The sequence below is a fragment of the Homo sapiens genome, chromosome 4 (genome assembly GCF_000001405.40).
Source record: "Homo sapiens chromosome 4, GRCh38.p14 Primary Assembly".
NCBI classification, from domain to species: Eukaryota; Metazoa; Chordata; class Mammalia; order Primates; family Hominidae; genus Homo; species Homo sapiens.
Window position 1 is genome coordinate 38,606,775 of NC_000004.12, and position 26,522 is coordinate 38,633,296.

Consider the following 26,522-nt stretch of genomic DNA (forward strand, 5'->3'; position numbering starts at 1 on the left):
CTTTACAGCTCCTAAGCCCCAGTGGGCGTGTGTTACAGTGCGCTCTTTCAGCTTTGCTATCTGCCGGCAGCTTGTGTTCATCACCTCAGTTAGACCCTCTGCGTTATCACAAGGGCAGAGGGCTTTCTGTATCCCGGGTTCTTGCCCTAGTGCACCAGAAAAATTGTATCATGTGTGGGCTTAGAGAATGAGTGCAAGGTTTTATTGAATGCTGGAGGTGGCTCTCAGCAGATAGATGGGGAGTCAGAAGGGGGATGGAGTGGGAAGGTGGTCTTCCCCTGGAGTCGGGCCGCTCAGCAGCCAGGCTCTCCTCCGACCACCCTCTGCGTCATTCTGCTGTTGATGGTCTGTCAGCGTCTATGTGTTCTTCTGCCAGTGTGTTCCTGTCGATGTCCAGCCACTTGTGTGTGCTTCTGCCAGTGTGTTCCTCTTGATGTCCAGCTATTAGTGTATGTGCCCGCTAAGGTCTTGGGGTTTTTATAGGCACAGGATTGGGGGCGTGACGGGCCAGGGTGGACTTGGAAAATGCAACATTTGGGCAAGGAAACAGGAGTGCCTGTCCTCACCTAGGTCCGTGGGCTCAGGCACAAGGGTGGAGCCCTTGTCAGGGACCCTGCCTTTCTCTACCCATCCCTGTACCCCTCCCATATCACTTCCACACAGCCCTGGACCTGGGCTAAGACATAGCACTATTTGCCATTCCTAGTTGGTGCTGTGGGGTTCATCTAGGCCAACTTTATCATTTTCACAGAGGAGAAGACCAAAGCCCAGAAAGTGGAAGCCATGTGTTCAAGGTCAAAGAACCTGTTCAGGTCAGAGCTGGGGCAGGAATCCCTGACTTAGACACCCCAACCAGGGCTCCTCTGCAGCACCTACCTCTTCACTCATGTTCCTTGGAGTTTTTCCATTCCTGGTTCTTGCTCTTCTTGTCCCACTTTTGAATCTTTCTTGGAGTTACTGCTTCCAGGGTTTCCATCCAGGCCCAACTTACAGAAGCAGCTCAGTAGCTTCCTCCTGTTAGGATTCAGCCCCCAACCCTGTTCCCTCCCAGCATCCTCAGCCCACGTTCTGGGTTCAGCCTCCTCCACTGCTCCCTGCTTGCTTTCCCATGCATCCTATTGTGAAGAACTTTTCGTCCTTACAGCACGTCTATGTACAGTACCTCACTGATGACTACAAAAAATCTCATGAAGTCATCCAGGGAGATGGATTATTTTCTTCATTTTTACAGATGCAGAGATTGAGATGCCAGGTGAGAGCGAATAAGTGGTGGGACCTGCGCTGGGATCTTTAAGCCCATCACGATTTTCAAAGGTCTTCTATTCCCAGTGTCTTCTCCTTCCGTGGAGTGGTCCCCAGGACACCAGCATCACCTGACTTCTTCCTCTACACATTCATTTCCTAAAGTCCATTATCATATGTCAATTTTCAAGTTTCCAAATGTATATGATACTTTTTCCCAGGCATCTCCATGCTCTCCTGGCACCTCAGGCATCTTAAGACCTCTCTGGGTATGCTTGCCTCCCTCACTAGGGCATGTGGTCAGAGTTTAAGGGTTAAGATTCTGAAATAAGGCCAGGCCCAGTGGCTCATGCCTGTAATCCTAGCTATGTAGGGGGTCTGAGGCGGGTGGATCACTTGAGGTCAGGAGTTCGAGACTGGCCTAGCCAACATGGTGAAACTCCATCTCTACTAAAAATACAAAAATTGGCCAGGTGTGGTGGCTCACACCTGTAATCCTAGCTACTCGGGAGGCTGCAGCAGGAGAATCGCTTGAACCTAGGAGGCAGAGGTTGCAGTGAGCCAAGATCGCACCACTACACTCCAGCCTGGGCAACAGAGCAAGACTCAATCTCAAAAAAAAAAAAAAAAAAGATTCTGAAATCATACAGACCCATATCCTGGCTCTGCCTCTTACCAGCAGCGTGACCTTGGACAAGCTATTTCACCTCTGAGAACCTTAGTCTCTTCATTTGAAAGTTGAGAGTATGATTATCTATCTCTTCAGGCCATTGAGAGGATTAAATAAGAACAGAGTATCTCTACTAAAAATACAAAAATTAGCCAGGCGTAGTGGCGGGCGCCTGTAGTCCCAGCTACTTGGGAGGCTGAGGCAGGAGAATGGCGTGAACCCGGGAGGCGGAGCTTGCAGTGAGCCGAGATCCCGCCACTGCACTCCAGCCTGGGCGACAGAGCGAGACTCCGTCTCAAAAAAAAAAAAAAAAAAAAAAAAAAAAGAACAGAGTAGCACATAAGTTCCACTGTACGTAAGTGCTTAATTAAATATTCGCTGTCATCATCAACATCATCGATATCTCTTGCCTTCTAACTTCTAACTGTGCCCCCGCCCCCAAGCATGCCCTCCCACACACATAACTAATTTCCCAGGCCACCTACAAGTTATCTTTCACACATACACATATGCCTAGAAGAAAAATTTAGGAAATTTTAGGAAAAATTTTACTCCCATATAGAGATAAGCAAAAGAATTTTTTAAATCACTAAAGTTTCACTTGTACCCTCCCATCCCTCATTGGCCACCCACTCCAGAAACCCCAGTTGCAAAATTCTGATCAGGCTTGTGATTAGGAAATATATCACTTCCCAGGTAAAAATCCAACAATCTCCCACCTAGGAAGCAGGCTAGGCTCTAAGTTTACCAAGCTCCTTAATAGGGCCCAAACAGAGCAGATCCTTTCTGCAAAAACAGGTTAAGAGACTGGACTCTGAGATTCAAATCCTGCTTCTACCACTTACTAGCTGTGCAACTGAGGGTAAGTAGCATAGCCTTGCTCTGCCTTGATTTTCTCTGGATTAAAATGGGGATGAAATTGGACCCAAAGTTTTTTTGTTGTGAGAATTTAATGAGATCATCTATGTAAAATAGTTAGCAGAGCAGCTGCCTGTAATAAACTCTCAACAAGTGCTAGTCACTCTTATTATTATTAGTTTTCATATGCTTTTTCCCTTTGCCCAAACTAGTTCCACAGGATCCCGTCACCACCACTTCCTCCTCACTTCCTGTTTATCTCGTTATTTGCAAAACACCTCCTCAATGAAGCCTTTCTGGATTGGCTGCCCTAAGTGTGGCAGGTACACACCCCTTCTACTGCCCTTTCCACCCTGGGCTACCTGCATTTGTTTGTTTGGAGTCCTCCTTTACTCTCACACAAGCATCACGAAGAAGACATATCTCAAACCACTGTAAAGGAGAAGAGGGATCAAAAAGAAATTCTGATGCCCGTGCTGAAAACTCCCTAGACCTTAACTCAAGCCTCAGTGTGATCAAGAAGCATCAGACTGACCCATGCCTCCTCAGTACTATCTTTCCAATAATTATTTTAGAATATTTAAGAACCCCTATTGATGTATTACATCTGCCTCCAGCTCCACCCCTCAATCAAGAGTCCGTTTAAGGGTAGGTGCTGTTTTGGCCACATGTTTTTCTGCCATTGTCTTTTGAAATGGTTTTTTAAAGAAATTAAATTGTGGCTGGGTGCAGTGGCTCATGCCTGTAATCCCAGAACTTTGGGAAGCTGAGGCCAGAGGATCACTTGAGCTCAGGAGTTTGAGACCAGCCTGGGCAACATAGGGAGATGTGGATTCTACAAAAAATTTTAAAACTTAGCTAGGTGTGGTGATGCGCACCTGTAGTCCCAACTACTCGGGGGGCTGAGTGTGGGGTCCTGAGGTGTAAGGATTGCTTGAGCCCAGAGGTCAAGGCTGCAGTGAACCGTGCTCATGCCACTGTACTCCCGCCTCCACAACAGAACAAGGCCCCATCTCAAAAAAAAAAAAATTAAAAAAATTAAATTATTGACTCCTATGAATTTGTTTATCTGCTCTATTCTGCTTTAGCCTGGTCTCTCAATGAGCCACAGTTGCCTTGGAAGAGCATACTGTACAGGCGGAAGAACCACAAAAGCTAAAGCTAAAGACAGCCGTAAAAGCATAAGCCTGCATCTAACAGTGACAGGCTTATAAAGCACACTCACACAACACAAATCTTGGCCCCAAAGACCAGGAAATTTTATTTGCCATTAACCGTGCTCTTTCCAGGAATTGGATCCTCATGGCAAAAGAGAGAGTTGTTTTCCCACACCACCTCCTCCTCCCCACCCCCCACCCCCCAACCCCCGTCATTCCCACCAAATTCATACTTTCTCTCTGTCTCCTACAAACAGGGCCATAGTTCACATAAACAACTCAAGGCAAAGATGAAGGAATTGCAGCGTCTCCTGGAATTGATACTTCTGCATTTTACCAAACAATAAATACATGTCATATCCTCTTTTGTTTGTCATGGCACTAAAAAGGGAGGAAAATCTCAATTCTGCTAGTTTCGATCTGGAATACAAACGACAGGCGCCAGGCTTCCCATCTCACAATGAGTGCCTTGGAGAGATGGTGGTGTGCCAGGGGTGGGGGAAGAGCTGTTTTTAAAGAACCCAAACAAAAATTGCAGAAACTGCAAAACCCAAATGTTTGCAGTATCTAAACTGGTGGAGAAACTGTGGGGTAGAAACTTACAGTCTGCACTAACAAGTACCTGAGTGGCCCGGAAGTACAGAGCTCTCCGAGCTGAATCCTGTGAACTGCAGGTGCAGGTTACAGACGGGAGGTTCGGCTGTGGGAATGTGCCAAAGACATAACAACACTCAGTTGACAGGAACCAAGTTTACCATCACAGCCCAGACTTAAATACAGGAGCCGGCAAATTCCATAGGATTTAGGCATAAAAGAAGAATTGCCATGTTTTTCCATATGCGTTCATTCAAATACACATAATACCGTGTATGGAAAGGTGGCATGATGTTTGCTTTTCACTGAGTGCATTTTCATGATAGAGTTAACTCTTCAGAGACAAAATTCTGTGTATAATTTAGTTCTCCAAACATTATATCAGAATCTGTCCGATCTTCTTCAAAATAAAAACAGATCTGTTTTGTTTTAGGAATGTTTACAAAAACTTGTATATTTAAAATACAAGTATAAAATGAAGCAGTCAGAAATAAACCACCACTCAAACAACCCCATCCTAACGTAGATCACAGTTTTGCCTATTTTAATCTCTAGATTGACTTGTAGTGGTGGAATGAATTGAGGAAGTTGAGAAAGGAACTAATATATTCATAAGCCTTTACAATATGTAGGCACCATTGAGATACTTTACAAACACCCACAGCAGCCCCATAAGCTAGGTATTATTATTTATTTATTTATTTATTTACTTTTATTTATTTATTTATTTATTTACCTATTTATTTGAGGCGGAGTCTCACTCTATTGCCCAGGCTGGAGTGCAGTGGCGAGATCTCAGCTGACTGCAACCTCCGCCTCCCGGGTTCAAGCGATTCTCCTGCCTCAGCCTCCTGAGTAGCTGGGATCACAGGTGCCTGCCACCATGCCTGGCTATTTTTTTTTTTTTTTAAGTAGAGACAGGATTTCACCATCTTGGCCAGGCTGGTCTCAAACTCCTGACCTAGTGATCCACCTGCCTTGGCCTCCCAAAGTGCTGGGATTACAGGCGTGAGCCACCACACCCGCCTCTGAGCTAGGTATTATTATTCCTGTTTTACAGATGACACTGAAGCTCAGAGAAACCAGGTAACTTACCCAAGATCACACAGCTAGTGAATGGCAAAGACAAGATTCAAATCTTTATATTTGAAATTTTTCCTCCCCATGTTTAGAGAGAACCCTTGTACATCACTGGGTATCCCAGAGCATATGATGAGAATCTTGGTACTATTTAAACCCTTGTTAAAATGACATGGTTTGTAGTCAGCTTTTACTATTCATTAGATAATAATTTCTGGGGAGATATTTATATATTGTATTTTTTATGTGTCCAATTTTAACCTTAGAATTTATCATTGAATTTGCAATACTTTTAAAATATCTGCTCTAATATAAAGACATTTTTACATTTTCCTTTTTTTTTATGGCATAGTTCTAGAATTGAAAGTGAAAAATTCTGTTTCAGCATGTTCTCTGCACCTCCAAATTTTCTTGGCTATTACCAGTAGTTCCTTATACGCAAACATATGAGAAATCTCTGAAGAGCAAATTCAGTTTCGAAAAACAGCTAATGATATCGAAGAAAAGTAGGCACTGGTGGATACTTTCTAGAAGACAGTATTAATACAGCAATACTTTAGGAATAATGATGAATCTGTTTAAAGGCAAAACATCACTAACCTAATCAGATCACTTAGAGAAATAAGTGATTTTCTCTGTCTTATCCTGAGATCATATAGCCATTTAACCTATCTTCAAACAAACAAAAATTTTTAAACATTTTCTATCCTTTAAGAAAATCTTCTTTGCTTGGCTAAATGACAATGTTCAAGAAATGCCTGCCACAGAAGCATAAAAAATCCTTGGCAACATTCCAGAAGAAATTCACCCTGCATAATGTGTTCCAGCAAACGCTCAATAGCTTTCTGGTGAACCTGCTGGCTCAGTGTACACTTGAACAGGATCTAGAGAGAACAAAAGAAAAACTGATAGACATTTTCCTTTTTGTCAGTCTGGTGAAGTAGCCCTCAGCTCATTTTAGCAAACTTCCCCAGCTTGGAAAAATGAGCATGTGTATGGCTAACTTACGAACCCTGCCCTGGAGTCTGGTGCACACGCTGTTGTACTACTTTTGATTCCCTGAAATTCAAGTATAATTATGTTGTTTGTCTTTTCATCCAATAAAATGTGCATTAGCATTTGGTTCACTTTGGAGTGTATTTGTTGAGATGAATCTATTCTTTCAAATGACAAGTTAGTGCTTTCATAATGAGAACACTTTATATAAAACTCTTAATATTAAAAAGAGGTAGACTGGAGGGACAGACTTCTTTAAAACATCTCAAAAGTGTGTTCGTAATTGGCTGAAGCTATTAATTCTCTACATATTTATGCAAAAATGTCGCCAAGTACAGAAATAAAGACTTTAAAACGAGATCCATTTCCCTTCTATAAAGTGAAATAGATGCATACTTTTAATATTTATGTCCCTTTGCAACTTTTTCTCAGGATGAACATTTCCTGCTCCAAAAATAAAATGGTTGGACATTTTACAGGTCTATTAAACTGTAGTGATACATTTGGCCCAAATTCTCTCCTTGGACATGGTGGGAGGGAGAGTTGGGTGGAGCGGGCACAGTGTGTGTATTAAAAGCCTGTTTGACCTTAAATGCCCTGAATTGAGGGCGGGGAGGATGGTTAGGAAGGTAAAAATTTTTTCCATTCATTGTTGTAGAACAGCACATAGTTCTGAAATAAACCCATTTTGCAGGAGAGAAATTCTAGATCCAACTGTCAGGCCTAGGAGAGAATTTACACCCTGGGGAAAGAGCTGAAGGCACTAGAACATGCCTCTATCACCCTCCCATCACCAGTCAGCCAGCCTGTTTTATACAAGGCCTTTTTCTGATTCCTTGGGGCCAGCAGCAGGGCCACTTGGAGGAGTGAGCGGGCCGACCATTGGCTCAAGGTTTAAAATGTAGTCTTTGGATGGTCTCATACAGACACGCCAACAAGAGTCAAGGGGAAGGATTCATCACACAACTTTAACAGCTAAATATAAACATTAAAAATATACTGTGCCTGTGCTGGCTGTAACATTCTTTTGGCTTTCTTCATTTTTTACTATGCTGGAAACTTCAAAAAATGGAAAGACCCAGCTCTCTGGACCTCTGACTACCAGGAAGTCATGTGGTCTATTAGAAGAAGGCAGGATATTTACAAAATCCTCAACTGCTTTCTGCAGAAGAAAACTGGGCTTCCAGACTCCTAGTCACCAGAGTAAAACACCAAATACAAAACCAACACAAAACATGTCAAACTAAGGATACCTTCGACTGGCTCCTTCATCCTGGTCTCCTCTCTCTCTCCAAAGGTTAACCATGATCATGAATTCAATGTGTTTTCTTCCAGAGCTTTAAAAGGAAACACAGACACACATACTAAAAATAATATTATGTGTGGGTTTATAAAACATATTTTGTATAATGGTGTACATATCCTAAAAGTTGCTTTAGTCACTAAATAATTTTTGAGACCTATCCATGTAACTACACATAGATTTAGTTGATTACTTCTGAATGCTGAATAATATTCCACCATTTGAAACCACCACTTTCATCTAGCCATTCCTCCTATGGATGGACATTGGATATTTGTCTGTTGATGATCTGATGTATTCTTCTGACTTCCCCTTCTCTGATTGTACCGGATTACTCCTTAGTTGTTTCATGTAAGTGAGATCTGTCTCCCAGACCAGAAGGTAAACTTCCAGACCTCCATGTCCAACATGCATTACAGAATAATTTTTTGAATGAATGAACTTTGTGTTTTTGACTGCCTCGTAGACTAATAGTAGCTTTGGATTCAACAGAGGCTCAGCAAATTCTATTTATTTATTTATCTTTTTCCCTTTTTAAAAGAGAAGTTTTGACCGGGCGCGGTGGCTCATGCCTGTAATTCCAACACTTTGGGAGGCCAAGGCAGGCAGATCACCTGAAGTGAGGAGTTCGAGACCAGCCTGACCAACATGGAGAAACCTCGTCACTACTAAAAATATAAAACTAGCTGGGCGTGGTGGCACATGCCTGTAATCCCAGCTGGTTGGGAGGCTGAGGCAGGAGAATTGTTTGAATCCGAGAGGTGGAGGTTGCAGTGAGCCAAGATCGCGCCATTGCACTCCAGCCTGGACAACAAGAGTGAACCTCCGTCTCAAAAAAAAAAAAAAAAAAAAAGGAGAGAAGTTTTGTATTTTTAAATCAGGTTCATCTAAAATCCACTTCCTTTCCCAGTCTAGATTTATGATAGTCAACATCTCCTTAAGATGTTCCACATCCTGACACTAGGGATATAATAAAGGTTGTGCCTTTTATTATTATTATTATTTTTTCATTTGAGACAGCATCTCACTCTGTCACCCAGGCTGGAGTGCAGTGGCCCAATCTCAGCTCACTGCAACCTCCACTTTTGGGTTCAAGCGATTCTCCTGCCTCAGCCTCCCAAGTTGCTGGGACTTCAGGTGCGTGCCACCACACCCAGCTAATTTTTGTATTTTTAGTAGAGACGGGGTTTCACCATGTTGATCAGGCTGGTCTCGAACTCCTGACCTCGAGGGATCCACCTGTCTTGGTCTCCCAAAGTGCTGGGATTACAGGCGTGAGCTATTGCGCCCAGCCCTGGTTGTGCCTTTTAAAGATGAGTGTGTGTGTGTGTGTGTGTGTGCATGAGAGAGAGAGGAGGAGGAGGAGGAAAAAGGAGCAGGAAGAGAGTGAATGGAGCCAAAACCACATTAGGGTGTGGCCCTGGGGCCCCTGCTGGCCTTTAGGCAAAGCCAGACACAAAGGACTTATTCTCTTTGCAAATGAAACCTGGAAAACAAGCACTTTTCCTTCTTTTTTTTTTAATCTCTTCCTGCCACTTTTACTTTACACTTTTAGGTTGTTGGTGTCAAAATCAATTTTCTTTCTTTTTTTTTTTTTTTTCGGGATGGAGTCTCTCTCTGTTATCAGGCTGGAGTGCAGTGGCGCAATCTCGGCTCACTGCAACCTCTGCCTCCCAGGTTCAAGCAATTCTCCTGCCTCAGCCTCCTGAGTAGCTGGGACTACAGGCACATGCCACCATGCCCGGCTAATTTTTGTGTTTTTTTTAGTAGAGACGGAGTTTCACCACGTTGGCCAGGATGGTCTCGAGCTCTTGACCTTGTGATCCACCCATCTTGGCCTCCCAAAGTGCTGGGATTACAGACGTGACCACTGCGCCCGGCCAATCCATTTTCATTTATTTCCCTGGAAACTTTACTCTCTGACACTTTAGGCTTCCTGTAAAACAGCAAAAGTGCCCTTTCTAGGGACAAAGGGAAACACGCAAAGTCTCCACATCCACTCACCAGTGATCCTCCAGACCATTCAACCAGACCCTGGGTTATGTTATAAAGAGCTATCTGAAACCGTGAAAACCTTGCCAAAGAGATTTAACCATTACGTTGTGTGTTAGAGGGAGCAGAATATGTGAAAGTTGTATGAAAGCTGCAGAAGTAGATGGGTACTTAGGGACATCCCTGTGCCTGTGTTATTCCATCTTTCCATCTTGTGACATCATTTTTATTCTTCCCTAGTCTGGGACACTCTCAGCAGCAGTTCTTGGCTTTTTTGTGTGTCGTTGTTGTTGTTGTTTTGAGTCTTATCCCTTTTCTCTGGCCGGCATTCTTCCAAAATACAAATATGCTCATATACAAGCAATTCTGCAAAGAATTTCGAGGACATGAAACATCTCCTAAGAGAGAGCCCAGGTAAAGAAGATCTAAACTAAGGTAGGAGTCCAGATATTTGCAGAAACAATAAACTTGACGGGTGTAATAAACATTGATAGTAGCTGCAAAATAAAGCCAAACTTCATATTTGAGTATTGGAAAAAAGAACTGCTTATCCTGGGTTGGTCTTTTCAGATACATTCGTCTCTATATGGATAACAAAAGTAACCATATGTGATATCGTTTGGACATTTGTTCCCTTCAAATTTCATGTTGAAATCTGATCCCCAGTGTTTGGAGGTGGGGCCTGGTGGGAGGTGTTTGGGTCATGGGGCCCAAACATGAATCTTGGCTTGGTGCCTTTCTCTTGGTAATGAATGACTTCTCCCTCTATTAGTTCCCTCCAGATCTGATTGTTAAAAAACAGTCTGGCAACTCCCTTCTCTCTCTCCTGCTCCTCCTCTTGCCATGTGATCTGCGCACTCCAGCTCCTCTTCACCTTCTTCCATGAGTGGAAGCTTCCTAAAGCCCTCATGAGAGCAGATACAGGTGCCATGCTTCTGATACAGCCTACAGAACCATGAGCCAAATAAACCTCTCTCTTTCTCTCTCTGTCTCTGTCTCTCTGTCTCTCTCTCTCTCTCTCTCTCTATATATATATATATACATTACCCAGCCTCAGATATTGAGTAGCAATGCAAAATGGACTGAGACAATATGTCATCAATATACCATCTTTTTTCAAAAAAAAAAAACACAAAAAAAACAGTCTCACTGTCACCCAGGCTGGAGTGCAGTGGCACAATCATAGCTCATTGCAGCCTCAAACTTCTCGGCTCAAGTGATCCTCTTGCCTCTGCCTCCTGAGGAGCTGAGAGGATACAGGTGCATGCACATCAGCTAATTTTTTTTTTTTTTTGAGACAGGGGTCTCACTATGTTGCCCAACTTGGTCTCCAACTCCTGGGCTCTAGCGGTCCCCCCATCTCAGCCTCCTAAAGTGCTGGGATTACAGGCATGAGCCACCATGCCTGGCCTATCACCATCATTGAATACAAAAAATGACTGTATCCAGGAGATAAATCATGGACAAGGCACAAAACTGATAATGAGATTTTCTCATCAAAATATTGACACTATTACAAGTGTATACATGGGTAATAAATGAATAAATTATCTTGCCCATCAGAGCCCCTCAACTGAATTTTTTTTTTTTTTTTTGGAGACAGAGTCTCAATCTGTCACCCAGGTTGGATTGCAATGGCGCAATCTTGGCTCACTGCAACCTCTGCCTCCCAGGTTCAAGCGATTCTCCTGCCTCAGCCTCCCAAGTAGCTGGGATTACAGGCACCCACCATCATGCCTGGCTAATTTTTGTATTTTTATAGAGATGGGGTTTCACCATGTTGGCCAGGCTGATCTCGAACTCCTGACCTCAGGTGATCCACCCACCTTGGCCTACCAAAGTGCTAGGATTATAGGCGTGAGCCACCGTGCCCAGACCCTCATCTGAATTTTTAAAATCACATCCTTTGCATCATTTATTTCAGTAGCTGCTCTACCCTCAAAGTCATTCTCAGCCTTGCTTTAACTTCAAAGAATTCTGCATATGTCATCTTCCTTAGATCGCATCTATTTCAAACCCTTAGCTAGTCCAAAAACCATGTAGCCACAAGTAATCATAAGATTACTGTCATCCTAGTAACTTTTGCCATTTTCAGAATGACTGCTATGTGCCAGCTAGGCTTGTAGCACCTCAAATGTATTATGAACATGTACTAAATCTTTACAACAGTGCTGCTCTGTAGATAGCAGTATTTCCATTTTAAAGAGAGAATCCCAGCCAAGTGCTGTGTCTCATACCTATAATCCCAGCACTCTGGGAGGCCGAGGAGGACGGACCACTTGAGGTCAGGAGTTCAATACCAGCCTGGCCAACATGGCAAAAACCCATCTCTACTAAAAATACAAAAAAGTAGCCGGGCATGGTGGCGCGTGCCTGAAATCCCAGCTACTGGGGAGGCTGAAACATGAGAGTCACTTCAACCCAGGAGGCAGAGGTTGCAGTGAGCCCAGATCGCACCACTGCACTCCAGCCTGGGCGACAAAGCGAGACTCTGTCTCAAAAATAAATAAATAAATAAGAGACAGAGAATCCCAAGGCTCAGACAGAAGTAATTTTCTAGGGGTTATGGAGCAAGGAACTGGCAGAACTGGGTTCAACCTTAATTTCATTTGACTGCAAACTCTCCCTCTTAGTCCTGATGGTTGGTACCAGGGTGCCATTTTTCCAGATGAATCTTAAAATTACAGAATTCTCAATTTATATGTGTTCTTAACCTTCTTTGGCTCAATGAATATTCGAACAGAAAAGGATCTTGGAGGCAATTTTGCCTGACTCTCACACTTTACAGATGAGGAAACTGAGACTTGGCTGCGGTAGGTTACTGCTCCAGTTATGGCCTTCCCTTTTCTGGTTCTGAGGAGGCAGGACCCACTTCCTTTGGGAGGTGATTTCACGCTTCTGCTAGCATAGCTTTAAGTGCACCAAAAGTCTTTATGCAGACCTTTGAGGACCTTCCAAAAGGAGCATAAAAAGTCCAGAACATGTCAATGACCCAAGCAAAGGAGACCCATACTCAGATGGCATCTACTGCAAAGGGAATAGAGCAAGTTTATTCAATCCACAGCCCTCAGCCTGCATGTGGCCCAGGAAAGCTTTGAATGTGGCCCAATACAACTTCATCAACTTTCTTAAAACATTATGAGATTTTTTTTGCGATTTTTTTTTTTAGCTCATCAGCTATTTTAGTGATAGTGTATTTTATGTGTAGCCCAATACAATTCTTCTTCTTCCAATGTGGCCTAGGGAAGCCAAAATGTTGGACATCCCTGGAATAGAGCAATCCAAGATGTGTCCCACCCCACTCCCCACAGGGCAAGCCAAGGATGTTGGCTGATCCACAAAGCTGGTACAACAACAAAACAAGACATGCAAAATTCCAGCAAAGGAGATCCAAGAAACCAGCACCTGCATCCCAGAGCAACTTCTAAGGACAGCAATGACATGCAGCCCAATTAAGCAGGAAATTTCAAAGCCCTCCACTTTAGGTCCATAGCAGCTGGAATGAGGAAGAAAAGGACAAATCAGTGCTCAATAGCTTGCCCTTAGATTTGTTATCGAGCTAGAATAACAAGCAGTTGTCATATTTCAAGTGTGTTTTAAAAGTCCTGAATCAGATAACTATCATGCCTTGCATTGTTCTTGAAAATGCAAAAATAGAAAAAGGAAGAAATTATCTAAGAGCAATAAACCAAGGAAACAGAGACCAGGCAGGGGTGGGGCTGCAGATCATCACTACTGATGCTTATGAACATTTACTACATGACAATAGTTACTACATGACAGAGTTAGACACAGTTCCAATCTCTCTGTCCAAGAGAAAGAAAGAATAAGAGAATAAAAAATGTAGCTATTTAAAAGAATGTAACGAATTAATAACAATAGAATAAGAGAATAATGTAACTAATGAAAGAATGTCACATTTGTATTTTCTAAAGAAGGCAGTTTAGGGTGACCCTAATGTTTTTCAACATTAATTTTTTTACTTTATTATGTTGTTAGGGAACATCAAAAACACAAAGTACTGTACTAAATATATCACATGTCATAAAGACAGTACACATTGGGTGGGTCAATGACTGAGGCTTGCCTGAATTAGCTTTAATTGATTCACTTAACATCTCCAAGCTTTTCCGGGCTGTTTTGTAAGTAAGTATGATTATATACAAGGTGATACATAAATATTTAACATAAGCATATGTATATATCTATACATACACATGCATATGTATATATCTATATGTATACATGCATATCTATGTACACACACATATGTGTATGTATGTATATGCATGTGTGTGTATGTTTTTATATGTAATATATTGAGACCATTTGACATACCCAGGTACTGAGCCTACCATCCCACTGAATAAGTTAATTTACTGGGCTCTCAGAGTATGAATCCTTAGCCTTCTCAGAGCACATGCACTGTTTGCTCAATCTGAAAACACGTAATTATTTAACTTGCCTTCTAAAGTAACACCACACCCTGGATATGATGCAAGACCCAGCATTACAAGATAAGCTCTGTCTCAAGTTTCTGCTCGTTATAGTGCCTGAAGTATTTACTCATATGCTCAGGGACTGAAGCAGAAGTAAACAGTCAGGCCAGTATTATAGGGACACCTGTGTTACAAAATTGACTTTCTTATATTGTGAAAGCAATGAATGAAGTTCAGCAGGCCTCCTGTAAGGATGCCGATTCAGCCCACATCACCTTGGTCAAACAGGACTTCAGCCTTATTGCCGCCCTCCCTAACGCACCCAGGTCAGTCTACTTTCCTCAGGTATCTGATCCAAGCTACAAGTCATGGGTCTCCGCTGCAGCACCTCACCTCCTGTTTATCTTCTGTTTGCACCCGTCTTCGGGGAAGTTAACCTTGCTTTCTGTCAATGTGTGCTGCCCCTGGATCTCCAAAGAGGTTTCTGCATGGTGTGTTTAACAGGACTGGACTCTATCTTTACAATTCTACAAAATCAGGCCAGGCGCAGTGGCTCATGCCTGTAAACACCTAACACTTTGAGAGGCCAAGTCAGGCGGATCACCTGAGGTCAGAAGTTTGAGACCAGCCTGGCCAACATGGTGAAACCCCGTCTCTACTTAAAAATATAAACATTAGCCAGTTGCAGTGGCGGGCACCTGTAGTCCCAGCTCCTCAGGAGGCTAAGGCAGGAGAATCGCTTGAACCCAGGAAGTGGAGGTTGCAGTGAGCCGAGATCATGCCACTGGACTCCACCCTGGGCGACAGAGCAAGACTCCATCTCAAAAAAAAAAAAAAAATTCTACAAAATCACTTCGTTTATGACTCCCTCTCTAATTAAACAGAACACGGTGTCCTGGAACAGAGACTCAGGTACAAGTTTACATTTCTATTAGGCTTGATGCCTCATATCTTCCCCACAACAGGAGTACTGAGATTTGATATAGCTGAGTGATTAAGAGCAAGAACTTGGAGAACTAGTTAGCCAGGGTTTGAATCCCGGACCACCACACACTAACTGTGCCTCACTTTCCTTACCTTTATTTTTATTTATTTATTTATTTATTGAGACAGAGTCTTACTCTATCACCCAGGCTGGAGCGCAGTGGTGCAATCTTGGCTCACTGCAACCTCCACCTCCTGAGAATTGAGGCAATTCTCCTGCCTCAGCCTCCCAAGTAGCTGGAACCACAGGCACGTGCCACCACACCCGGCTAATTTTTCTATTTTTAGTAGACATAGGGTTTCACCATATTGGTCAGGCTGGTCTCAAACTCCTGACCTCAGGTGATCCATCCAGCTTGGCCTCCCAAAGTGCTGGGATTATAGGCATGAGTCACCACACCCAGCCTATTTATTTTTTCTTTGAAACAAGTTCTTGCTCTGTTGGCCAGGCTGGTGTGCAGTGGCCTCAGCACAGCTCACTGCAGCCTTGATCTCCTAGGCTCAAGTGATCCTCCCACTTCAGCCTCCCAAGTAGCTGGGATTACAGGCATGTACCACCACACCTGGCTAATTTTTTGTGGTTTTTGTAAAGACACAGTTTTGCCATGTTGGCCAGGCTGCTGGAACTCCTGGACTCAAACAATCCACCCACCTGGCTTTCAGAAGTGCTTGGATTAAGGCGTGAGCTACCACACCCAGCCTTCCTTACCTTTAAGATAGATAGATAGGTAGGTAGCTAGGTAGATAGATGGAAGGATGGATGGATGGATGGATAGATAGATAGGTAGATAGACACAGAGATAGATACATACATAGACAGATAGACAGACAGATAGACGGATGGATGATAGTTAACCAAAGTGCTCAGACTAGTGCCTGGTATGCAATAAATGCTACCTAAGTGCAAGCATAACAAATATGATGATAATGGTACTTCCTATCTGCCTTGGTGTTCAGGAGAGGATGAGGAGGGACGGGGCCACCCCCGTGGTAAGCAAGTGAGGGCATCCCTGAAGTGGCTGCAGCTGTGCTGCACTGTTCCGTTGTCTCCATGGAGGGCCTGACTTGGTGTGACCAGCTCTGCACATTTTCAAGAGAAAGCAAAATCCAAATTTCTGGATTTTAAATTGTTGGTTTACATTTTTAAAAATTAGTGTTTGAGCCAAAGAAAGCATGTCTAGAAGCAGATTTTTTCCCTTAAGTCACCATTTTGTGACCTCAGACACATATGAATCTATAATGTGTGGGTTTCCATTTTTCTTTGCTTATCATCCATACTTCTTTCTCAGCTGAACACCCCAGGGGCAAGAGAAAGCACACAGAAGGCACTCAATGAAACCCAGCTGAACAATGACCTGGTTTGTTAATAAACAAACACCAGTGGGCTTTTCTGCAAGAAAACAATGAGTAACAGTGTCAGCTACATTTAGGAACTTTTTTTTTTTTTTTTTTTTTGGTTGGAGTCTGAGTCTCACTGTCACCCAGGCTGGAGTGCAGTGGCTCAATCCCGGCTCACTGCAACCTCCACCTCTTGGGTTCAAGTGATTCTCCTGCCTCAGCCTCCCGAGTAGCTGGGATTACAGGCATGCAACACCACGCCCAGCTAATTTTGTGTATTTAGTAGAGATGGGGTTTCACCATGTTAGCCAGGCTGATCTCAAACTCCCGGCCTCTGGTGATCCGCCTGCCTCGGCCTCTCAAAGTGCTGGGATTACAGGCATGAGCCACTGCGCCCGGCCTAGGACCTTCTCTTAAAGTGCATCTTTAGGTCAAAAAACCAGGCCCTGGGAGCACACATCTGAACAAGATGCAGCCCCTGATTCTGAGGAACTTACAGACTTGTGGGGGACACAAAAGTGCAGACAACTGGCTGGGCGCAGTGGCTCATGCCTGTAATCCCAGTGCTTTGGGAGGCCAAGGAGGGCAGATCACGGGGTCAGGAGTTCGAGACCAGCCTGACCAACATGGTGAAACCCCGTCCCTACTAAAAATACAGAAATTAGCTGGGCGTGGTGGCGCACACCTGTAATCCCAGCTACTCGAGAGGCTGAGGCAGGAGAATCACTTGAACCTGGGAGGCAGAGGTTGCAGTGAGCCGAGATCGTGCCACTGCACTCCAGCCTGGGCAACAAAGCGAGACTCCATCTCAAAAAAAAAAAAAAAAAAAGCGCAGACAATTGCAATGTTTACAAAACACATTGGCATACATTATGTCATTTCACATCATGAGAACCCACTGCAGTAGGTACCGCATGTGATTTTATACCCAATAGAAGAGAAACTGAGGCACAGAGAGGCTAAGTAACTTGTCCAAGGAGGCTAAGTAACTTACCCCACTAGTAAGAGGAGTTGTAACAAGAACCAGTTCTGCATACTCCAAGCCCAGGGCTCTTTCTGTTGCATTCTAATGCTCCAGCATAATGTGCATATTTTCCGGTGCCTGTGATACTAGCAACATCAGACTCATTAACATGGCCGATATCCTGTGAGCTGAAAGAAGGCACTGATAGCATCATGGAATGCAGCCCTTAAACACACCTGAGAATAGTTAGGAAAATTTTTTTCTTCTCATGGATTACAATTTCCCTTCTACCAAAAAGAATTTGAGGCCACTTGCAACAACATGTAATGCTGTTTTTAAACAGTTAAAAGAACAGGTGATGAGGGGAAACGGAGATGAAATCGCTGCTTCAGGAAATCAAAGTTAAGAAGAGGCAGCACGAGTGGGCACAGATCGTAGCTCTGAGCCTCCTGAATGACAAGACAAACTGGGAAGTGACAAAGTTCTTGTTGTCTATAAAAGGAGGCATACTAATTTTAAGTTTAGCATATATTATCACCGTTTGTTCTCTAATTTCTAAAGCACATAGCAAAAATCCCTATTTTGGAAAACATTGATTAAAAAGTAGAGCATTTGGCCAGGCGCAGTGGCTCACGCCTATAATCCCAGCACTTTGGGAGGCTGAGGCAGTGGATCACTTGAGGTCAGGAGTTCAAGACCAGCCTGGCCAACATGGTGAAACTCTTGTCTCTACTAAAAATACAAAATCAGCAGGGCAAGGTGGAGTATGCCTGTAATCCCTGTTACTCTGGAGGCTGAGGCAGGAAAACCGCTTGAATCCAGGAGGTAGAGGTTGCAGTGAGCCGAGATTGTGCCACTGCACTCCAGCCTGGGCAACAGAGTGAGACTCCGTCTAAAAAAAAAAAAAAAAAAAAGCAAATATATATACATATATATATATATATATATATATATATATATATATAGAGAGAGAGAGAGAGAGAGAGAGAGAGTATTTTATTAAAAAATTGATGTTATATTTTTAAAGTCTATAGTTGATCAGAAGATTTTGTAAATTTATCAAGAACATACTCCCTAGCCCATGGTCACCAATATTAATAGTCTGGTACATCCTGCAAAGGAAAATGGGACAACTGTCATCCAATTTAGAAGGATTGTATAGGAAAATTTTAGAACTGTAATTTTGGGGAAAGGATAAGCAAAGTGTCACCTTTGTGCACACACTTCTTCAAATTCTTAACTGGATGAATGATAGCTGCAGGAGCACTTCAAACACAGGATGACACACAGCAGCTCTGAGCACATTTCCTCCACGCACTCATTCAGCCAGTAGATTCTGAGGGCTCACAGAGCAGGCATTCACACACGGTCCTTAAAGGGTGGAAACAGCAGTGAACAAAAACCTGTGCCTTCACCATGCTCTCCCATGATAAAACACAGTACGTTGCACAAATTAAAGATGGTTGTTCTCATCCAAATCAGTTTTCCTAAAAAGGCAACTGTGTTTAGGACAGCCCTGTGTTACTGCAGACGTTGAGACAGATCCTTGGCTTTTGCCACAGCACTACCTAGAGCATAGGAATAGCTAGAGAAAAAGGAGGAGCAAACCTCAATCCATAAACAAGGCTGAGGCCTAGATCCCACCCTTCTGAGATCACTATGGATGGAGGGTGGGCCTACCTTCTGCTGCAGAAGCAGCCAAGTACCTCTTTCAGTCTGATGGTGTAGTTCTCTTCTAGAAATGGCTTTAAGAAGTAGCAAGAAGAAGAAAGCAAGCTACAACAGCCACAGAAGCTGTTAGCCAGATTAAAAAAAAAAAAGGAAGAGGGGAAAGACAGGTTTTTAAAACCCATACAGGCATTCATTCAACAAATATTTATGAAATCTTCACTGTATATACAAAAGGCCCTGGGGAAATAGTGGGAGAGAGGGAAAGACATGGTTCTGCCCTAGTGTCTCTTCCAATCTAGAGAATCAGATGTAGAACAAGTAATCAATTCTTTTTTTTTTTTTTTTGAAACAGAGTCTCACTCTGCCGCCCAGGCCGAAGCACCGTGGTGCAATCTCGGCTTACCGCAACCTTCGCCTCCCGGGTTCAAGTGATTCTCCCACCTCAGTCTCTCAAGCAGCTGGGATTACAGGCACCCGCCACCATGCCTGGCAAATTTTTGTATTCTTAGTAGAGATGGGGTTTTGCCATGTTGGCCAGGCTGGTCTCGAATTCCTGACCTCAGGTGATCCACCCCCCTTGGCCTCCCGAAGTGCTGGGATTACAGGCGTGAGCTACCGTGCCCAGCCTAATTCTTTATTTAAAAGTAGGATAGCTACTAGTGAGAGGTGACAGCGTGCTGGCAGTCCTCAGAGCCCTCACTCGCTCTCGGTGCCTCCTCTGCCTGGGCTCCCACTTTGGCGGCACTTGAGGAGCCCTTCAGCCCACCGCTGCACTGTGGGAGCCCCTTTCTGGGCTTGCCAAGGCCGGAGCCGGCTCCCTCAGCTTGCAGGGAGGTGTGGAGGGAGAGGTGCGAGCAGGAACCGGGGCTGCACGCGACGCTTGCAGGCCAGCTGGAGTTCTGGGTGGGTGTGAGCTTGGCGGCCCGCACTCGGAGCAGCCGGCAGGCCCTGCCGGCCCCAGGCAATGAGGGGCTTAGCACCCGAGCCAGTGGCTGTGGAGGGTGTACTGGGTCCCCCAGCAGTGCTGACCCACCGGCGCTGCGCTCGATTTCTCCCGGGGCCCTAGCTGCCTTCCCAAGGGGCAGGGCTCGGGACCTGCAGCCCGCCATGCCTGAGCCTCCCACCCCCTCCGTGGGCACCTGTGCCGCAGGAGCCTCCCCAGCAAGCGCCGCCTCCTGCTCCACAGCGCCCAGTCCCATCGACCACCCAAGGGCTGAGGAGTGCGGGCGCACCGCGAGGGACTGGCAGGCAGCTCCACCTGCAGGGGCAGTGCGGGATCCACTGGGTGAAGCCAGCTGGGCTCCTGAGTCTGGTGCGGACGTGGAGAACCTTTGTGTCTAGCTCAGGGATTGTAAATACACCAATCGGCACTCTGTCTCTAGCTCAAGGTTTGTAAACACACCAATCAACACCCTGTGTCTAGCTCAGGGTTTGTGAATGCACCAATAGACACTCTGTATCTAGCTAATCTAGTGGGGACCTGGAGAACCTTTGTATCTGGCTCAGTGATTGTAAACGCACCAATCAGCGCCCTGTCAAAACAGACCACTGGGCTCTACCAATCACCAGGATGTGGGTGGGGGCCAAATAAGAGAATAAAAGCAGGCTGCCCAAGCCAGCAGTGGCAATCTGCTGGGGTCTCCTTCCACATCGTGGAAGCTTTGTTCTTTCGCTCTTCGCAATAAATCTTGCTACTTCTCACTCTTTGGGTCCACGCTGCCTTTATGAGCTGTAACACTCACCGCGAAGGTCTGCAGCTTCACTCCTGAAGCCAGTGAGACCACGAGCCCGCTGGGAGGAATGAACAACTCCAGACGCACCACCTTAAGAGCTGTAACACTCACCACGAAGGTCTGCAGCTTCACTCCTGAGCCAGCGAGACCACGAACCCACCAGAAGGAAGATACTCCGAACACATCCACACATCAGTAGGAACAAACTCTGGACACACTGCCTTTAAGAACTGTAACACTCACCGCGAGGGTCCGCAGCTTCATTCTTGAAGTCAGTGAGACCAAGAACCCACCAATTCCGGACACACTAGGAAGAACGATTGGAGATTGTGAGCTATAAAAAAGCAAACTAACCTAGTGCCAAAGATACCAGAAACTCCTTTACCCATTCCAACTCACCTTCCCTCCCTCTCTGGCACACACACAAGTGGGCACATACACAGGCATACACAGTCACAATATAATCAAGCTCCTACTATCTTCCTTTTTCAAGAAGACTACTTTGGGGCTGGAAATACTAAGGATGCTATTCTTTCTAGATGTTAGGCCAACAGGCTGCAAACCTGGAAAATCCCATGGCCAATATTCCTACTCTGAGCTAAGATGCAGTTGGGTCTAGAGAAAAAAAGAAATATTGGCTGGGCATGGTGTCTCACGCCTGTAATCCCAGCACTTTGGGAAGCCGAGACGGGCAGATCACCTGAAGTCGGGAGTTCGAAACCAGCCTGGCCAACACAGTGAAACCCCATCTCTACTAAAAATACAAAAATTAGCTGGGTGTAGTGGCGTGCGCCTGTAATCCCAGCTACTTGGGAGGCTGAGACAGGAGAATCACTTGAACCCACGAGGCGGAAGTTGCAGTGAGCTGAGATCATACCACTGCACTCTAGCCTGGGAGACAGAGTGAGACTCTATCTCAAAAAAAAAAAAAAGAAAGAAATATTTAGACAATTGCTTCTTCAAATGTCTTCTAGATCTTTGAGTTTATGGTGCTTGACCCTATTGATACTTAATTAGAACCTCCAATAAGAACTTGCAGGGGAGCACGATGCTGAAAGTGAAAATGACAGCTTCCCGTTGGACTATGTGCTGATTTACAGCAGTTCAGTCTCAGAAAAGGAAAACTACATAAAAATAGAAGATATAACAGTGAAATCAAAAAATTAAAACTTAGAATCTGCATATACTGAACTTTCATTGGCTGTCAAATTATATTAATCAACAATGTCAAGTTGAAAAAAAGCAAATGAAAAACAAATAAGGAACATTATTTGTACAAAGCATTGAGCTAGTCAAATTTTATCACTTTTTAGTTATATAAGTACAATATAATTGTGGTAAATAAAATTAGAAAATTTAGACAAGAACATAAAAAATAAAAATGCAGTTGACCCTTGAACAGCACAGGGATTCGGGGTACCTATCCCGCACAAATCCCGCAGTCAGAATTCTGTAGATAACTTTCAATTTCCCAAAAACTTAATTACTGCCAGCCTACTGCTGACCAGTAGCCTTACCAATAACATAAACCATCAATTAATACATATTTTGTATGTTATATGTATTACATGCTGTATTCTTACAATAAAGTAAGCTAGAGAAAATGAATTGTTACAAAGAAAATCATAAAGAAGAGAATATATATTTACTATTCATTCAGTGGCAATGGATCAACATAAAAGTCTTCATCTTTGGCCGAGTGTGGTGGCCCGCGCCTGTAATCCCAGCACTTTGGGAGGCCAAGGTGGGTGGATCACGAGGTCAGGAGTTTGAGACCAGCCTGGCCAACATGTCGAAACCCCATCTCTACTAAAAATACAAAAATTAGCTAGGTGTGGTGGCACGTGCCTGTAGTCCCAGCTACTCAGGAGGCTGAGGTTGCAGTGAGCCAAGACCACTTCATTGCACTCCAGCCTAGGAGATAGAGTGAGACTCCGCTCAAAAAATAAAATTAAAAAAACTCGTCATCTTCATAGTCTTGATGTTGAACAGGTTGAGGAAAAGGAAGAAGTGGGGTTGGTCTTGCTGCCTCAAGGGCAACAGAGGAGGAAGAAAATCCATGCGTAAGTGGGCCTGCAGAGTTCAAGCCCATGTTGCTCAAGGGTCCACTGTACAGCCATTTTAATAACCAAAGTACTTTTCATTAAGTTACTGTAACAAAATGTATTTAACCAATTTCCTGTTATTGGACATTTATTTCTGATGTTTAACACAAATGCTTTAATGAACAGCTTTATACATACATCTCTGCATAATGTATCTCTCATTATTTTCTTATGATAAGCTCTTAGAAGTGGAATTTCTCAGTTGAACAGTATTCAGATGTTAAAAAGCAGAATTACAGCAATAGCCAAATTCAGTCATTTAAATTCTTTTTTAAGGTGCTTACAGCATCTTCAAACTTAGTAAGCATTCAAAAATTGAAAGAGAACAGTCTTTATTTTCATATCAAAGTCAATAATAACATTACATATATTTAATATATAACTTCAGAACTCTGACATTTCTTAAAACCTCACCAAATACTGACAGACAGTAATACCATATGGTTACAGACGCTTCTGAGAGAGCAAGACTGTTTCCAATTGCAATACAACAAATATGTTAACTGACTGGTTCATTTCTGAATTTAAAATGCTGAACAGAAAACCAATCACACCAAATATAGACAATATTTTTTAAAGTACACAACTGCACTACATACCATAGCAGGAGGACACAGGACTGAAACATGTATTTCTTTGTTTGGTCTATGGGCAAAGTCATCATCTCTCTGGATCTCAGTTCTGAGGGTAAAGACACAAGAGCTAGGGTTTCCAGACTTTTAGAATTAATAGACCAATTAAACTAAAAAAAAAAAAAATCAAGAAGGAACTAACAACTAATGCAGGGTTACCAAGGAAATAAAAACACAACACCACCACATACTAGCATATCATCCATAAATAACCTTAAAATGGGAGGAGGGCAACATACTCTCTGAATAAGAAACCATCATTAAATGTAATGCATTTATCCTGATTTTTATTTTTTTGTCTGCTCCATTGCTCATGTTTTTCTCATTTTGCCCTGGAGTGTGAAAACTGTGCCTCAGACTTGTACTAGTCCCCCAACTCTTGATTGAAAACAACCTCCCTAGATAACTTCTAAATCCTTTCCAGATTATAAAATGCTGTGTTTTGTGATTCCAAATTTTAATTTAGGTTCTATGTAAAGAAGTCATTTGCAAGGCCTTTTTTTTTTTTTTTTTTTGAAATGGAGTCTCACTCTGTCGCCCAGGCTGGAGTGCAGTGGCACGATCTCGGCTCACTGCAACCTCTGCCTCCCAGGTTCAAGCCATTCTCCTGCCTCAGCCTCCCGAGTAGATGGGACTACAGGCGCCTGCAACCACCCTCGGCTAATTTTTTGTATTTTTAGTACAGACGGGGTTTCACCATGTTAGCCAGGATGATCTCGATCTCCTGACCCCGTGATCGGCCCGCCTTGGCCTCCCAAAGTGCTGGGATTACAGGCGTGAGCCACCACACCCAGCCTTTGCAAGGACTTTTAAATTCAGTCTCTCTTACTTCTTTGAGGCTGCCAATGAGTGGATCCCATGAAGTGGGGATCGGGGGTGGATGCTTTCTGAGGGAGGGCCTCCTGGGGCCAGGCAGTGAGCCATGCATGCAATAAGGACACAGAGACACAAAGCACAGCCTCTGCCTTCAGGGGGCTGTCACCTAGGGAGCAACAGGAGACTAATACCCAGGAGGACACAAGTGATAGAACACACAAGGTACGCCTGGGGTACCTGGGAGCATTTAGGAGCAGCATTGTACCCAAACAGGTAGAGAAGGTGAGTGGGCCAGATCTTCTGGATAAGGTGACACTTACACTGAGGCTTGGCAGCTGAGGATGCCACTACAGGCCACGAGCATCCTTTGTAAAAGCGAAAGCGTGTCAGAAGTCATGGAGAATCCTGGCCGGGCGCGGTGGCTCATGCCTGTAATCCCAGCACTTTGGGAGGTCGGGGCAGGCGGATCACTTAAGGCTAGGAGTTCAAGACCAGCCTGACCAACATGGCAATACTCCGTCTCTACTAAAAAACTAGCTGGGTCTGGTGGCGCACACCTGTCCTCCCAGCTACTCGGGAGGCTGAGGCACAAGAATCACTTAAACCCGGGAGGAGGAGGTTGCAGTGAGCCGAGATCGCGCCACTGCACTCCAGCCTGGGCGACAGAGCACCTGGAGAACCCCACAACCTAGTGAGTTCCAGTGAGAACACAGTCTATGGGTTGGAGGGTTGCAGAAGATACTGAAGAGGCAGACACATTGCCAGATCAAGAAAACCTGCAGTGCCACATTCAGGAGTTTGGACTTGATCACCAAAACACTGGGATGTCACTGAACTATTTTAATCAGGGGAGGAGACTGAGGCACATCTCACAGTTTGCCTCTTCCCCCAGCTCAAATTTTAAAATAGAGCTTTATAGCAGAAAAGAATCTCAAGGTCAGAAACTCCTATGTTATCTTTGTTTTTTAAGAAAAAAAGGTTATGCAGTAAACCCTGTTAAAATAAGTTCAAACTGTATAGAAGTGCATAAAATTAAAATAAGAATATTTCGATCCCCTCAACCAAATCCTACTCCCCAGAGTTAATCCTCATTATGAGTTTCAGGGAAATCCACGTATATTTTATCTAAGCATATACAAATATATACAAAAGCATTTATGGGCCGGGTGCGGTAGCTCACGCCTGTAATCCCAGCACTTTGGGAGGCCGAGGCTGGCAGATCACGAGGTCATGAGATCGAGACCATCCCGGCTAACGCGGTGAAACCCCGTCTCTACTAAAAATACAAAAAATTAGCCAGGCATGGTGGCAGGCGCCTGTAGTCCCAGCTACTCGGGAGGCTGAGGCAGGAGAATGGTGTGAACCCAGGAGGCGGAGACTGCAGTGAGCCAAGGTTGTGCCACTGCCCTCCAGCCTGGGCGACAGAGCGAGACTCCGTCTGAAAAATAAATAAATAAATAAAAAGCATTTATGTCCAACACAAATAATGTTTTGTGAGTTCTCTAATACAGAATATATTGTGCCACATATGTTGGTCTGCAACTTGCCTTTTTCACTTAATTATCAGTACAGATAGATCTCATTCTTTTTGGCTACACAGCATTCCACTGTATGGATGGGTATGTTTAAAAATTAATTGAACCATTTCTTTGTTGGTGGTCATTCAAGCAGTTCCTAATTTTCTAGTTGTTGCTGCAATGAACATCCTTGACTATTTGGATATCTATGTTTGTTTTCCTAAAGGATAGTTTCTTAGACTTTGAATTAGTAGGTTAAAGAAACTATGCATTAAAAATTTTGAAAACTACTGCCTAATTGCTCTCTAAAAAGTTGTTTCATTTTATGTTCGCCCAGGGTTATACAAGAGTGCTCATCTCTGCCCACAAAGGCCAAAGGTGGGGATTATCAAGCCTTTGAAACTTTGCCAATCTGAGAGATGAAAAATGCT

The 26,522-nt window shown here is 44.0% G+C and overlaps 1 long non-coding RNA gene across 2 annotated transcripts in view, besides 2 other annotated features; it reads right to left on the minus strand.

The window, feature by feature from the left end:
- Positions 1-26,522, minus strand: part of KLF3-AS1 (KLF3 antisense RNA 1) — a 65,801-nt gene that overhangs the window by 7,682 nt on the left and 31,597 nt on the right. The window contains exons 3-11 of one of the 2 annotated variants that reach the window (NR_171644.1): positions 23,726-23,807; positions 21,265-21,328; positions 18,828-18,988; positions 17,648-17,805; positions 7,851-7,934; positions 6,410-6,485; positions 4,550-4,627; positions 3,133-3,202; positions 877-1,401 (exon numbers count right to left, since the gene is read on the minus strand). This is a non-coding gene — a long non-coding RNA (KLF3 antisense RNA 1). Of the gene's footprint in view, positions 1-876; positions 1,402-3,132; positions 3,203-4,549; positions 4,628-5,926; positions 6,486-7,850; positions 7,935-17,647; positions 18,510-18,827; positions 18,989-21,264; positions 21,329-23,725; positions 23,808-26,522 lie in introns of those variants that run through there. The other variant, NR_026804.1, reaches the window with a different exon arrangement.
- Positions 15,354-16,206: an enhancer, noted in NCBI's record as "H3K27ac-H3K4me1 hESC enhancer chr4:38623749-38624601 (GRCh37/hg19 assembly coordinates)". NCBI's record gives its function as "activates a minimal SCP1, AML or CMV promoter by ChIP-STARR-seq in naive H9 embryonic stem cells {active_cell/tissue: H9 hESC(naive)}" and the evidence as "EXISTENCE:reporter gene assay evidence [ECO:0000049][PMID:30033119]".
- Positions 17,802-17,971: an enhancer, noted in NCBI's record as "experimental_79844 CRE fragment used in MPRA reporter constructs". NCBI's record gives its function as "activates a minimal promoter by MPRAs in K562 erythroleukemia cells, with activity observed for the introgressed 4:38626282 variant allele {active_cell/tissue: K562}" and the evidence as "EXISTENCE:reporter gene assay evidence [ECO:0000049][PMID:34662402]".